Here is a 16160-nt window from a genome sequence, read left to right as displayed (position 1 = left end):
TAATGTATTCATTAATTTGGTTTGCAGCTATTTTCTTGAGGATTTTTGCATGAATATTCCTCAGAGACATTGGCCTATAACTTTTTTTTTTAATGTGTCTTTGGTTTTGTTATCAGAGTAATACTGGCCTTATAGAATTAATTTGGAAGTATTCCCTCCTTCACTATTTTGTGGAATAGTTTGAGTAGGATTGGTATTAGTTCTTTAAATATTTGCTAGAATTCATCATTGAAGTCATTGGGTCTTGAGCTTTTCTCTACTAGGATGCTTTCTCTTGAGTTCAATCTGATTATTTGCTATAATTTTGTTCAGGTTTTGGATTTCTTCATGGTTCAATTTCAGTAGGTTGTATGTATCTAGGAATTTGTTCATTACTTCTAAGTTTTCCAATTTATTGGTATATAGTTGTTCATGGTAGCCACCAATGATCCTTTGAATACCTGTGATATCAGTTGTAATGCCTTCTTTTTCATCTCTGACTTATTTGGATCATGTCATATTTTTCCTTAGTCTGGCTAAAGGTTTGTCAGCTTTCTTTAATGCTTCTAAAGAACAACTTTTTGCTTTGTTAATATTTTGTATTGTTTTCTTTATTTCAATTTATTTCTGCTCTGAGTTTATTATTTCTTTTCTCCTACTAATTTTGGGTTTGGTTTGCTCCAGCTTTCGTAGTTTTTTAAAGTATATTGTTAGGTTGTTTATTTGATGTTTTTCTTCTATTTTGATAGTTGACACTTACAGCTATTAACTTTATTCTTAGTACCACTTTTGCTGAATCCCATAGGTTTTGATATGCTGTGTTTTCTCATCATTTGTTTCAAGAAATTTTTCAATTTTCTTCTTAATTTCTTCATTGTCCCACTGTTCACTCAGAAGCATATTGTTTAATTTTCATGTATTTGAACTTATACAAAATTGACTTAAGCTGGATTAATGACTTAAATGTAAGCTCCAAAACTATAAAAACCCTAGCAGAAAATCTGGGCAATACAATTCAGGACATCTTTGGGAGTTTTATTATTAAATTCCTGGAAGTAGTCTTCATTGGGTTTAATCTGCTTGGTGTTCTATCAGCTTCTTGTACTTAGATAGTGATACCTTTCTCTAGTTTTGGAAAGTTCTCTGTTATTTTCCCTTAAATAAATTTTCTACTCCCTTCTCTTTCTCTACCTCCTCTTTAAGGCCAATAACTCTTAGATTTGCATTTTGAGACTATTTTCTAGATCCTGTAGGTGTGCTTCATTGTTTTTTATTCTTTTTTCTTTTGTCTCTTCTAACAGTATTTTCAAATAGCTTGTGTTAAAGCTCACTAATTCTTTCTTCTGCTGAATCAATTCTATTCTATTATTCTACTAAAGACTCCAATGCATTCTTCAGTATGCCAATTGCATGTTTCAGCTCCACAATCTCTGCTTGACTCTTGTAAATTATTTCAGTCTCTTCGTTATGTTTATCTGATAGAATTGTGAATTTCTTCTCTGTGTTATTTTGAATATCTTTAGGTTTCCTCAAAACAACTATCTTATATTCTCTGGCTGAAAGATCACACATCTCTGTTTCTCCAGGATTGGTCCCTGGTGCCTTATTTAGTTCGTGTGGTGAGGTCATGTTTTCCTGGATTTTCTTTATACTTGTAGATATTCATCGGGGGCTGGGCATTCTAGAGTTAGGTATTTTTGTTGTCTTTGTAGTCTGGGGTTTTTTTTGTACACATCCTTCTTGTTAGGCTTTCCAGATATTAAAAAGGACTTAACCTATTTTCGATTTGCCCCTAGAATACTGCACCAGCAGTGAACTGCACTTTTTTTAATAAATGGGAAATGAGTTAAGTGTTGTGATCTAAGCTGTATCTGCTTTAGGGGCACTCCAAGCCCAATAATGCAGTGGTTCTTGAAGACTTGTAGAGGTACTGCCTTGATGGTCTTGGACAAGATCCAAGAGAATTCTCTGGATTACCAGAAACTCTTGTTCCCTTCCCTTAATTTCTCCCAAATAAACAAAGTCTCTCTCTCTGTTCTGAGTCAATTGAAACTGGGGATGGAATGACACAAGCACTCATGTATCCACCACCACTGTGACTGCACTGGGTGAGACTTAAAACAAGCAGAGCACTGGGTCTTGCCCAAAGCTTGCTGCAACCATTCCCTGGCTACTGCCTATGTTTCCAAGGATCTGGGGCCCTACAATCAGTTGGTGGTGAATCCAGCCAGGCCTGTGTCCTTCCCTTCAGTGAAGCAAATTCTTCCAGTACCCAGGCATGTCCAGAGGTACCACCCAGAAGCCAGGGACTAGAGTCAAAAACCTTAGAAGTCTATTTGGTGTTCTATTGTACTGCAGCTGAGCTGACACTCAAACCACAAAATGCAGTCCTTCTCACTCTTCCCTTTCCTTTCCAAAGGCAGTGGAATCTCACCCCCTGAGCAGTGCTACCACAGGCCCATGCAGAATACAGACCCTGTACAAGAGCCAAGTCCTGGTTTTGGAGAGTCCAGGAGTGCACTTGGTGCTCTACCCTCCTGTGATCAAGCTAGTACCTAGTTGCAAGACAAAGTCGACTTTATATTTCACTCTGATTTCTCAAGTAGAAGGAGTCTTTCCTGATAGCCAGCTAGCTGGGAATGTGTTGAGTCTTACCTGAAGCCGGTAAGCCTCAGAGACTTACCCAAAGCCCTCAACATAGTACCTGGGTATTGCTGCTAGCTATTCAAGCCCCCCACTCCTCAAGCAGAAGAAAGCAGTTTCTTTTGGAAGTGAAAACTGTGCAGCTTGGGATTAGGAGAGGGGGGATGTCAGCACTCCCTTACCCATCCCCAGCTGCTGTCTCAGTAGGTTGCACCTCCCACCCCAGTCTACTGTCTCTGGGCCCAGTTCAGCACCAGGACTCACATAAAAGTTACAGTACTTGTAGCCAACACTGCCTTTCAGGTTTATTTACCATCCCAGAGCCCTATAGTCCACAGTGATGAGGCTTGTAGAAACTCGGTTCCAACCACTGGTATCAGAGATTCACCTCTGGCCAGGGCTGGTTTAAATGCTCCCTCTGTGAGTGGGCATCAGCTGATTTTGGGCCTGTTTTCCTTTCTGCCTTAACAGAACTGCACTAATTTTATGCTCTATAATTGCTGTGCTCTCCCTCCCTCAGTACTCAGAAATACTCTCTGAACCATGCCACTGCTGCCAGGGGAAGAGAGGATGTCAGTAATTCAATAGTATTTTTTCTATCTCTTCATTTCCTCTTTCAGTGATATATATTTAAATCAAGGTGCATGCTCATCTGATTTTGGTTCTTATGAAGGTACATTTTGTGTAGATAGCTGTTAAACTGATGTCTTTGCTTGGGGAATAATCAATGAAGCATTCAATTCTGTCATCTTGCTCCACTCTCCCATTTGTATATCTTCTTTTGAGAAATTTCTGTTCATGTTGTTTGCCCACTTTCTAATGGGATTATTCGGATTTTTTTCTTGCTGTTTTGAGTTTCTTGTAGACTCTGGAAAATAGTCCTTTGTTGAAGGTATATTTTGCAAATATTTTCTCCCATTCTGTAGGTTGTATGTTTACTCTGCTTGTCATTTCTTTTACTGTGCAGAAGCTCTTTAGTTTAATTAGGTCCCATTGTCAACTGTTTTTGTTGAAATTGCTTTTAAACATTGAGTCATAAATCCTTAGCCTACACCAATGCTCAGAAGAGTTTTTTATAGGTTTTTTCTAGAATTTTTATGATTTCAAGTCTCATATTTAAGTCTTTAGTCCATCTTGAGTTAATTTTTGTATGTGGTGAGATATAAGAATCATATTTCATTCTTCTACATGTTCCCCTGGGTAATATCAGCCAAGCACAAATCCCACAGCTACCAGCGTAGGTGGCTCTTTCCTGCAAGAACCACCTCCTAGCTGGAAGCCAATAGGCACAGCCTATTACAACATCTGCTGGCAAAATAACATAGCATTTGGGAAGGAGAAAACTTTTATCGTATCTCAGCTAACACCATACCCACATCACCCCAGCTAATCGGAAGGTCTTGAGTGTGTTCACAAACCCAATACATTGCTAGTACAGCTGGCATTTGAGAAAATTACCACACTAAACCTATTTATAACCAAGTAAATCTTACAAAGTCTATGTCACTCTCTTGCCACCTCGATCAGAGGTGGTGCTTGCACCTGCTGCTAGGAGACCAGAGGACAGTTAGGCCCAGTTAAGCCCCATTCAACATTGCCCTCCTTTGTAGCAAAGAGTGGAACCCAAGCACTGTACATCTCTCAAACCTTTCCACAGCCTGAGGCATCAGAGATTTCCAGTTGGCTGACAAAGATGTCAATGTTCAATTATCCTCAGAAGGAAGAGCCAATATTACAGGTGAATAATCATAAGCCAAATGGACTGTTAAAGAGAGAGCAATGGAGCTTATTGGTCAATTCATAAGAAGAAAGAATCTACAACTCACAAACACGCACACACACATACACACAAATAAAGTAAAAAGAAGCTGGCAGAGGTGAAACCCTGAGAGACTTAGTAATCCATGGAAAGGGCAGGTAGGAGTGTTCTCAGCCTCCCTACCCAATTTGGCAGACTGCTGGGATCTGAACTCAAGGTGACCTTCCTTGCCTTCATGAGCACAAGTACTGGAGTAGGCTGTGGTTTTGAGACTTCTCGAGGATATTACCTTGTTCACACAAGGTCCCTTTCCTTTTCCTTGGATCTGAGCTGTTTTTAACTATTTTGGTAGAATTCACTAGTGAAGTAATCTTGAGCTGGAACTTTTTTTGAGGGGGGTGGAGTTCTTGATTACTAATTCAAATAATTTTCTTATTGTAGGTGTATTCACACTTTCAATTTATGAGAACTTTATTCGATTAGTCCCTTGGCCTTGGCATTTGCATTGCCCCTACTCTTCTTTATCCAATATAGGCAGTTAATGCCTCAAGTTTTTGTATTAATAATTGCCATTTCTCTTCACTTTGTATTTTCCTATTTATTCCTGAACTTATTCCTAAGAATAAGTTGCCTGTTGCCTATCTGGATTACAACTTTGTTAGACCTGTCTTGTCTTTGTGAACTCATTCTCTTTCACTATATTTCATTCTTGGTTTTGTTGACATATTTGTTTTACACATTTCAGCTTTGTAATGAATATGTAGGTGATACTGAGTCTTTGTAAATTTTTGACAGAAGAAAATTGCAAACTCTTGATTCAAGAGTGTAACACTTTTCATGATATAGCCCTAATTTACCTATATCTATAAACTAAAATTGTGTTCACTTACAAATAATAAAAAAATCATAAAAATGAATGTGTTAGGCTGTTCTTGCATTTCTATAAAGAAATATCTGAGGCCAGATAATTTATAAGAACATGAGGCCCAATTGGCTCACGGTTCTGCAGGCTGTACAAGCATGATGCTTGCATCTGCTCAGCTTTTGGAGAGTCCTCAGGGAGTATTTGCTCATAGCAGAAGGCAAAGCAGGAACAGGCACGTCACATGGCAAGAGGAGAAGCAAGTTGGGGAAACAGTTTTAAAAAACCAGATCTTATGTGAACTCACTTATTATCAGGATAACATCAAGGGAAATAATGCTCATGAGAAATCTACCCCCATGACCCAATCACCTCTCACCAGATTCCACCTATAACAATGGGGATTAAGTTTCAACAAAAGATTTGGGAGAGATAAATATTTATTATCCAAACTATATCAAGAGCTTAATCAAATAGTTGGCTTATATATCTCAAATACAAGAAGTCTTATAGTGGGCTAGACTAGAAATAATATGGTAGCCCTGAAGCATGAGAGAGTCAAGTGCCTTCTTTTTTTTTTTTTTTTTTTTACCATATTTAGTATAGAAGTCTTCATTACTATGATCAAATGCTCATGTCCCAAGATGATGTCAATCCTACCTCCCCCTTCACATTTGTGTTTTGAGTAATGAGGAGAAAAGAGAAGAAGATTCATGTTCTGGTTTGAATGTGTCCTCTACAGTTCATGTGCTAAAAGTGAATGCCCAATGCAACAGTGTTTGTGGGTGCAGCCTAACAAAACATGACTAGGTCATCAGTGTTCTGACCTCATAAATATACTCATGTTGTTATTGCAAGAGTGGGGTAGTTCTTGATAGCTTGTTATAAATGTGAGTGTGCCCCCCCCAATTGCTCTCACTCTTACCCTTTCTTGCCCTTCTACTTTTTGCCATGCAATGAAATAGGATGAAGGCCATTGCCAGAAGCCAGTGCCATGCTCTTGGACTTCCCAGCCTTCAGAATCATCAGAAATAAATTTCTTTTCTTTATAAATTACCAAGTCTATAGTATTCTGTTTTATAACACAAATTGAAGTAAGACAGGGCATCAGTATACTTCTGCTTTTATTTCTGGGGAAAGAAATATTCTGTGTGACTAACCTAAGCAGCGAATGATTTCATGAATGGAACTTGTAGGTCTGTCAGGAAATAAAGTTTGAGTCAACTGATCTGCAGTTTCTGCCATACCACACAGTTGCTTTTTCTAATACTGTACTGTCCAGTATCTCTTTTGGCTAACTTTAAAAAATAGTATGTTTTTTAAAATTTAGTGTATTTAGATATACTGGCACATAATTTGTCAGATAATTGCATGAAATCACTTCTAGGAAAAGGACAACCAAAAGTCAGAATTCAATATTGAAAACTTGGTTGGCACTGTAGCTGATCTATTTGTTGCTGGAACAGAGACAACAAGCACCACTCTGAGATATGGACTCCTGCTCCTGCTGAAGCACCCAGAGGTCACAGGTAGGACCACAGATGATGAACAAAGTGAATTTCAGAACAATGCTGAGAAGATGGTGCCAGTATCCTCCACCTTGTTTCTCTCAGAGAAGGCTCATTCTTTAAATTTCTGTGTCATCAGCTGTAATCTGTCTAAATTTGATGACACAATTTAAAATGACATCTTTGTACAATGGAGGAGGATGACAGAGATCAGTAGAAACAGTATGGCAGTAGCAAAATAAGTAAAGCACTGATGAAGTGTCTGGATTTCAGCAAAGGTAATTTGTGGTAAGGAGAGCCAGCATAAATTGCCCTAGTATTGAATGTTGGTTTTATTATGAAAAGTCCACTTTGAACAGTAGGTTCATTTCTCATTTTAAAAATTCCATGCTCTAATGCTGTGGTGGGGAGATGAAAACAATCTTTATTGAAGCATAAGTGGAAATTCTAGAATTGTACTGAGGCATCCTGACATAAATTCCAGTCTGGGAAGTAATCTAAAAGTTAGTCTCTTACAAAGGTGTTTCTATTTAAGCAGAGGCCATACCTAAAGGAATTTTATTATTCTAGGAGTGTGTTTCATAAAAATGCTATTTGACCAAATAGGGACATTTGGAAGGGGGTTTAATAATTGCATCTTTCACATACAACTTTTCTTTAGAATTTACAATTTACCCTTAGAGTAAACTCTACATTTCCTTAGAATTTACATTTAAATAGTTCCTGCTTTGCAGCAGATAACATACCTTTTTCCCTGTGTCAGGATCCCACTGAAATTTCAATAACTAAATTACAAATTAAAATTATCCTGCTGAAGTGAAAAGAGAGGAGAATAGAAAATAGCCAATAAGTCTTTGGCAAATTTCTAAAACATGGAGAGACAATGGAGGGCTGACAATTGACACAGCATAGAGGATGGAGTTGTAAGTATTAGCAGAGGAAGATTTATCAAGAGGAGAAGCTAATCTGTGTCACTGTGATTCTCATAAGGTTCAGTATTTGGAGGCACCAAGAGCCAAAGACAGTAGGGAATGAGACTGAAAAGGGAGGCTCTCCTGCCCAAGTTTCCTCCATAACTCCTTTTATCAGGTACCTGATTTTTTCCCACTGGGAAAGGGAAGCATACTCTCCAGAGAGACTGAGCCTAAGAACCCCTGTACTCGGCGACACTTTACAGGGCCAGGAAACTGTGAGATGTGAAGACAGAAAAAAAAAAGGTTTGAGAAAGATCTATTCCTCAGATTCAAAGACTCAGCATTTTTCTTCATCTTGCTTCCTGACATTCAGCAGCCAGCTAGATACTCTCCAGAGAAGAAACAAGTCTGGAGAAAAGACCTCCGTATTTTGCCAACTTAATAGAAAGTTATCTATAAATGTCCAGCAGAGTGAATGAAATTAAAACATCCATCACAGGACACAAAGTCATGGAATTTCAGAGCACCAGAAGTAAAGGGAAAATTAAAATCTTTCAGAGAGTTATATCAGGTCATATATAAAATATCAGCATTCAAACAGCATCAGAATTCTCAAGCATACTATCTTGTGTATTCATAGAAAAAAAGTATTTGGGACCTACATGGTTGCTACAAATTTTACCCTCTATACTAAGTTTCTCCAATACTGGGGGTTGTGCTCCATCTCATGTCTGAAACTAAGTCAGAAGAAATAATGGGTGCCAGGAATCAGGAGACCTCATGTAAGAGAATGAGAGTGTCAGAGAGGCTGCTGTGCTCCTAGGAAACAACCACTTCAGAAGGGACCAGGTGAATAATACATGTAGAGGAGACTTCAAGAATCAAAGAGATGTGATTGATAGTCTGAGATTTCCCTATAATTGGGAAATTATTACTAGGAGTTTCAAACATGTGCAAATACTCTAACTTGAAGAATAGAAAATTGTGATTTAACTAAAGAACCAAGGAAGAATGTGTATGTGTGTATATGTGTGTGTGTGTGTGTGTGTGTGCTTCTGTGAGTATATTTAGAATGATGTAAACAATGAATAGTGATATAACCAGAAATTGTGGTCTAAATATATTCTGGTAAGTAGAAGGAGGAGAATTGTGTGTGTGTACGTGTGTGGGTGTGTCTGTGTGTACACATATAACTTTGTGGGCGTGTGTCTATATATGGAATAGAGATGGAGATGAAAATTCTCATCTCTCATACCAGAAAATCATTAAATATTGTCTAAAAATTGTTAAGTAAAAAATAGAAAGAAATAGTGGTTATTTAGAAATACAAATATAAATTTCAGAAGAAACTGCTAGCATGCTCAAAGTGGCCACAATTGGAAATGGAAGAATGAAGACAGTACCATTGCTAATTGCATCACTGCCCCTGCTCCACCACCGCACACACAAATATATTTATAAAACCATTACAATTTAACATTATACCCCATATATTATTTTGATAATACATATTTGATTGTTTTTCTGTTTGCAAGCACTGTAATTTATTGACTTATTATGTTCTGTTTATTTTTTAAATAATGTATTACTTAAATTTGTATTGTCATATATGCTAATTTATAGAAATGTACTTATGCACTGTAATGACTAGTTTGTAGGAGAGTGGTATGTATCTATATTATGGTAATTCTTTTTATATGGCTGGTTGTACTTCTGGACATGTAACTCATGTTTGTAATGTTGCTGGGATTTTTATATCATGTTAATGTGGCCATGAATTGCTATGACAAATGTTCCATATATCTTCGTTTCCATCAGTTCTTTCTTGTGTCTTGTCAGCTAAAGTCCAGGAAGAGATTGATCATGTAATTGGCAGACACAGGAGCCCCTGCATGCAGGATAGGAGCCACATGCCTTACACTGATGCTGTAGTGCACGAGATCCAGAGATACAGTGACCTTGTCCCCACCGGTGTGCCCCATGCAGTGACCACTGATACTAAGTTCAGAAACTACCTCATCCCCAAGGTAAGCTTGTTTCTCTTACACTATATTTCTGTACTTCTGAAATTTCCATAGTGCTGGTTTGGTTCCAACCCTCTAACAACACAAGATGAGAGAAGTGCAAAACTCATACATGTGGCAGCTTGATGGACTTTCTGCTATTTTGTTTGGGGCTATAAAGATTTATAAAGCTAGGTCTCCTTAATAGGCTGCTCTTAGGTGTTACACTTTCAAATAATTGTTGAAAATATCAGTGTGTCAATTTCCCAAAACACTCTTCTGAGATTTTTATCAAAGTGACATTCATTGTGTAGTTCGATATGGAAAGACTTAACATGTTCATGCATTGAATTTTTTAATTCATGAATATGGTTATGCTCCCAACTTATTGAGCTTTATTCTATTTTCTCAGTAATGTCTTATTTTCAGTGCAGTGGTTTACAACTCTTTTATTAGGTTTTTCCTAGATAATTAATATTTTGTTGTGTTATAATTTTTTAATTTTTTTTTATTTCTTTGTAATTGGTATAAGTAATTGTATTCAATTATACTATTCTGATGACCTTATATCTAACAACTTTCCTAAATTTACTGATCATTGCTGATAATTTATCTGTAGATATACTTGGAATTTCTATGTATATTATTTTGCTATCTGGGTTAATATGTATTTTATATCTTATTTTCCAATGATTTTGTCTTCAATTTATCTTTATTGCATTATTGTGCTGGCTAGGATTTTCAGGTTAGCATTGAACAGAATTGGTGATAGAGGGCATCCTTATTTCATTTCTGATCTGCTGGGGGGTAGAGTATAAGAATATTAATATTTCACTACTGAGAATGATGTTTTAAGTATTTTTTTAAAATAATTGACTTTTATTTAACTTCATTTATAAAAGAATTTTCACGAATATGGTTTGAAATGATACTCTACATTTGTTATGAAACAGATAGTTGGTATTTTCATAAAATCCCAGCCCCCAGAAGGCTCATGTCATTCCAAGTGATCAGACTCCTGTACCTTCCCTAAATAAGGCTAGCAAACTGGGGATGGCAGGGAGCAGAGCCCAGAGCACCTTGGTAGTTTTGCACAGATTTTTTTTTTTTTTTTTTTTTTTTTTTTGAGACGGAGTCTCGCTCTGTCGCCCAGGCTGGACTGCGGACTGCAGTGGCGCAATCTCGGCTCACTGCAAGCTCCGCTTCCCGGGTTCACGCCATTCTCCTGCCTCAGCCTCCCGAGTAGCTGGGACTACAGGCGCCCGCCACCGCGCCCGGCTAATTTTTTGTATTTTTAGTAGAGACGGGGTTTCACCTTGTTAGCCAGGATGGTCTCGATCTCCTGACCTCATGATCCACCCGCCTCGGCCTCCCAAAGTGCTGGGACTACAGGCGTGAGCCACCGCGCCCGGCCTTGCACAGATTTTTTAAAAGCCAGTAACTTCCTTCTGGCTGTTCTAAAAGACAAACACTTTGGAGAAAAGTTGTGCAGTAAGGGAAACTATCAAAAATCATTCTCATAGAACAGTAAGGCAGTGAGGCAAACACGATCTCCCTCATGATTTTAAAGTCTGTAATAGAAATTAACAGTGTCATCTGCAGCCCAATTATGCACTTTAAGATCCCAAAAAATTGCTGCTGTTTTAAGTATTTTAGTAGATATTCTTTATCAGAAATCTTTAAGATTTTAGTAGATATCCTTTATCAGATTAGGGAAGTTTTTTCTCTTCTCTCATTTTTATATAAATTTGTGTCATGAATGTGTGTGCAATTTTATCAAATTGATTCTCTGCATCTATTTATATGATTGTATATACTGGCCTCACATCCCTCACTAAATATACATAAGTATACACAAACAGCTGGATTTGTTCTGTTACTTATTGTTCAGGACTTCTGTATTCATAAGATATTTTGGTCTGCAATTTTTCTTCCTCAAAATTTTCTTTTCAGAGCTTTGATAACAAGATAATGCTGGCTGCATAAAACTAGGTGAGAAACGTTCCCTAATGTGGGTCTGTTTTTATTGCTTTCCCTTCCTTCCACTTTTCTTCGTGTGACTGCTTAGTTGTATCCTTGAAATGCCTAAAAACCTATGGCTCAGTACCAGATATTATATATGAAAAAATGCAGAATTTCAGAGAACATTTATCTTTTTCCAGAATGTATTCATTCCCCTCTCATAGGCAATTATAATGACAACACCTCCTGTCCTGATTCAGAATTGAATATGACATGAACACAGTCAAAAATTGACTGTAGGTATGAGCTTACCTCTCTGAAGTTCTTCCGTCACTGGGGCCAATTATTGTCTTTATAATCTGGAGGCCAATTTTGGTCTTTGCAGCTTTACAATGCTGTCTATCACATGGTTTCTGTATTCATCCAGATGTTTTAGTTGCTATGCTATAAACTACACAATTCCACTTATTATTTTTCAATTAAAAATAATAAAGGTTATATCTTCATGAAGGAAAACAATGAGACTGATAAGGTTTCAATTACTAATGTCATCCTCTGGAGAAGACAGAATTGATAACTTATCAAGATGTGATGGGGTTTTCCCTAATTATCACTGATTTTTTTACAAGGATTAGGACTACAATCCACAGTTTTCATCAAAGCACACAACCAGAAGAGGTTTTTCTTTCTCAATACAAGGGTCTATCTACACCTCAATACTGCAGTATGTAATGCCCCAAAACAAAGATTTTTCTTTTACACAATAATAGTCACACTCAGTAGCTATTGTTCAAATAATAATACAGCCTAAATTTAAATTTTCACAATTTTTCTAGAATATTTTTATGGCTTTTTTCTCCTGCAGTTTACTATACAGGCAAGGAACAAGCATATAGTTCATTTATGTTGACCTTTTCACCTCCTGTAATCAAGGAAAGTTCCTTTCCTGGTTTGTTTCTTTTCAATCAGTTGACCTTTTTGAGACCAGCAGTCATTTAAAATGTTCCTCAGGCTGGTTTTGTATGACTGTTTTCTAGAGGCAGATTCCAGCTACAATTTTGGCAAGAAAACTACATAGGTGCTTTAAATATCCTGCTGAATCACATTGATGAGGTGGGAGCATGAAATGTCACATATGTCATTATTGGTCATGCTAAGTTCCCCACATAATAAGGTTGTATCCTCCAGATCTTACCATTGTAGGGGTTCTGCTTTTTATATGCAACTAGTAAAAATCTATGGGAGTGCATTAAGATTATCCGAAACTCCTGCTTCCAGAATCACACACCCAACGGTTCTAGCTTTAATTGATGATCCTTACCTGACCTGATGATCCTGACTTGAATTGTTGCAAAGTGATAATCTTTGTAATTTCATCATCTTTTCAGTGTTTTAAGCTAAAATTAATCTGTAGCATGGCAGTAATAAACACACAATAGTTTTTACTTCTTATTGCACTTGTGGTTGTCATCCCAGATGACATCATATTAAAATAGATTACATGTTTATTTACAAAAGTTCTATGAACAGATACTCTGGACATTTCAAGTGTCAACAGAGACTTCCATTTTAAACCATAATCTACATAATCAAAATACAAGATGTGTCAAATTTGAAGTGATGAAATAGAGCGGCAAATGAGGCCAGAAAAGGGCATCCAAACTTGATGATCTGGAGAACACATTCAGAAGGTTGCACACAAGTATCCAAGATGTAAGACTTCAAATGTGATTGGAAAGCTCTTTAGCAAGCTTCCACCACTGGCCTTAAGCTCATCCATGTAAATTACTGTGTCTGGCTGGACCTGAGTTTCCTCATCTATAGATCAACGTTATGGCGCTACGTGATGTCCACTACTTCTCCTCACTTCTGGACTTCTTTATAAATCAGATTATCTGTTTTGTTACTTCCAGGGCACAACCATAATGGCATTACTGACTTCCGTGCTACATGATGACAAAGAATTTCCTAATCCAAATATCTTTGACCCTGGCCACTTTCTAGATAAGAATGGCAACTTTAAGAAAAGTGACTACTTCATGCCTTTCTCAGCAGGTAATAGAAACTCGTTTCCATTTGTATTTAAAGGAAAGAGAGAACTTTTTGGAATTAGTTGGAATTTACATGGCACCTCCTCTGGGGCTGGTAGAATTGCTATTTGTCCATGATCAAGAGCACCACTCTTAACACCCATGTGCTCCACCCTCACAATACACCATCATTATTGGGCCAGATAGCGGGGCTTGCAGGAGTTAACTCTGTTGTTCCCAATTGAGAAAATGAACATCTTGGTTTGACTGAACTCTGCCACTAGATACATCACTAAGGCACCCAAGAGCTCCTCCTAGAAGGTAAAATTCATCTGATCTTTCCTTACCTGCCTTGACAAATGTATCTAAGTCCACAACTGCATTGAGTGTCTTCTACATGGTGTCTGTCACCTCCCAGGCTGAGCTCCAAGGGCACAACTTTCAATGAGAACAGAGGCTCACTCTTGAGTTAGGGAAGAAGAGTAAACAGGTCATTGTAATTTAGTCAGACCAGGACTGTGAGAGAGGAAAGCACAGGCCCTTGGGTAGCGGCTAGAGGGGGACTCTGCATGCTTCTTGCTCTCTCATATAACACAGTGAGGCATAAAATGGAGTAAGCAACTCAGAGGATGTTTCATGTGCTTCAAAGGAGGTGATAAAATTTAAGGGAAGCTAAGAGGTTACATAAGCTAAGAGGTTATTTTGCAGTGATTCCAGAGCACCCTGTCTTCTTCCAATCATGATCATATATCCTGGATACTTGCTTTTCACACCTGTGTTTTGTGTGCTAAGTCTCTGGCCATGGAATCTCCTTCCTTTATTCTTTGATCTTTTATGTCTGCTTTATATTTGGCACTGTAGATACCAACATGACAAGGACAGAGACCTTCCTTCAAGAATTCACATTTTACCACAATAGATAAATAAATACAGAATTACGATTCCTGGTAATCTGTGCTTTAATGAAAGCATGAGTATGCTGTTGAGGAAAACCAGAGAGCATAGGATTTGATTACTTGAGGGGATTGTAAAGAGTGTGAAGATGAAATGAAATTGAACCTATGTCCTGAATGTAGCCTAATAAAGATGTATCTTAGCCAAAATGAACAACAGGATATGAAACTTGAAACTTCATGGTGTGTTCAAGATTGATGAAGAGAGTGTATGACCAGAGCTGAGAACAGATTATGTGAAAAGTGGAAGGAAAAGTCATGGAATATCAGGCTTGGAACAGGAAACAAGAATGTGCATGTATTTCCATAATGACAGATGGAAACTCAAAATGGCAAAAGAGCTGTTTTAATGTGGGAATAAATAAAGAAATGACTGTTATGGAGCTGATAATCAATGAATATTTGTTGAATGAAGGGTGCCTATTGAGATTAGATGTTAGACAGATAGCAAATATATCTCTTTTTGTACATTTGTTTGTCCCACCATCCATTAATCAATCCATCATGTCATCCATCCATTCATCCACATGTTCATTCATCTACCCAATCATTAATCAATTATTTACTGCATATTCTGTTTGTGCAAGTCACAAATGACTGTTTGTCACAGTCACAGTTAAACACAAGGAGTAACTACTTCCTTTCTTTGTTATCTTCAGGAAAACGAATTTGTGCAGGAGAAGGACTTGCCCGCATGGAGCTATTTTTATTTCTAACCACAATTTTACAGAACTTTAACCTGAAATCTGTTGATGATTTAAAGAACCTCAATACTACTGCAGTTACCAAAGGGATTGTTTCTCTGCCACCCTCATACCAGATCTGCTTCATCCCTGTCTGAAGAATGCTAGCCCATCTGGCTGCCGATCTGCTATCACCTGCAACTCTTTTTTTATCAAGGACATTCCCACTATTATGTCTTCTCTGACCTCTCATCAAATCTTCCCATTCACTCAATATCCCATAAGCATCCAAACTCCATTAAGGAGAGTTGTTCAGGTCACTGCACAAATATATCTGCAATTATTCATACTCTGTAACACTTGTATTAATTGCTGCATATGCTAATACTTTTCTAATGCTGACTTTTTAATATGTTATCACTGTAAAACACAGAAAAGTGATTAATGAATGATAATTTAGATCCATTTCTTTTGTGAATGTGCTAAATAAAAAGTGTTATTAATTGCTGGTTCAGTTCTCAGACTTTCCCTCTTTTGTGCATAATGCAAGAAATAAAGAAAAGAGAGTGCCAGGAGGCCAGGCTTGTCCTCATAATAATAAGCAGATAGTGACAAAGGAGAAGAGGGTGAGGAAGGTCTCTGGATGTTTGTCATCTAGAGTTACTGAAGGTTTGGCTTTATAACAGAGAAAGTCTGTCCAAGGGAAGAAACAACCTTCAGGGAAATATTGAGAAAATCAGTTCAGTTGTGTATTATTTGGAGATAAAATGAGGCTAATTACTTCAGGGCCATAGAATCAAATTACCAATGCATTTATGTTAAGTGTAAAACAAGAAATATAAATTAGAAAAATAATGTAATCTG

General features: G+C 37.4%; 1 protein-coding gene across 4 annotated transcripts in view; it reads left to right on the top strand.

Moving 5' to 3' along the window:
- The window catches only part of CYP2C8 (cytochrome P450 family 2 subfamily C member 8), a 32726-nt gene extending 16916 nt beyond the window's left edge, over positions 1–15810 (top strand). For all 4 annotated transcript variants that reach the window (NM_000770.3, NM_001198854.1, NM_001198853.1 and 1 more), the window contains 4 exons: positions 6631–6772; positions 9505–9692; positions 13544–13685; positions 15273–15810. In NM_000770.3, coding sequence (NP_000761.3) covers positions 6631–6772; positions 9505–9692; positions 13544–13685; positions 15273–15454 — 654 coding nt within the window. In that variant the 3' untranslated portion in view covers positions 15455–15810. The remainder of the gene's footprint in view (positions 1–6630; positions 6773–9504; positions 9693–13543; positions 13686–15272) is intronic.

This window comes from Homo sapiens, chromosome 10 (assembly GCF_000001405.40).
Source record: "Homo sapiens chromosome 10, GRCh38.p14 Primary Assembly".
Taxonomy (NCBI): domain Eukaryota; kingdom Metazoa; phylum Chordata; class Mammalia; order Primates; family Hominidae; genus Homo; species Homo sapiens.
Note: the sequence above shows the minus strand (reverse complement) of the source record. Positions and strands in the feature narration are given on the sequence as shown.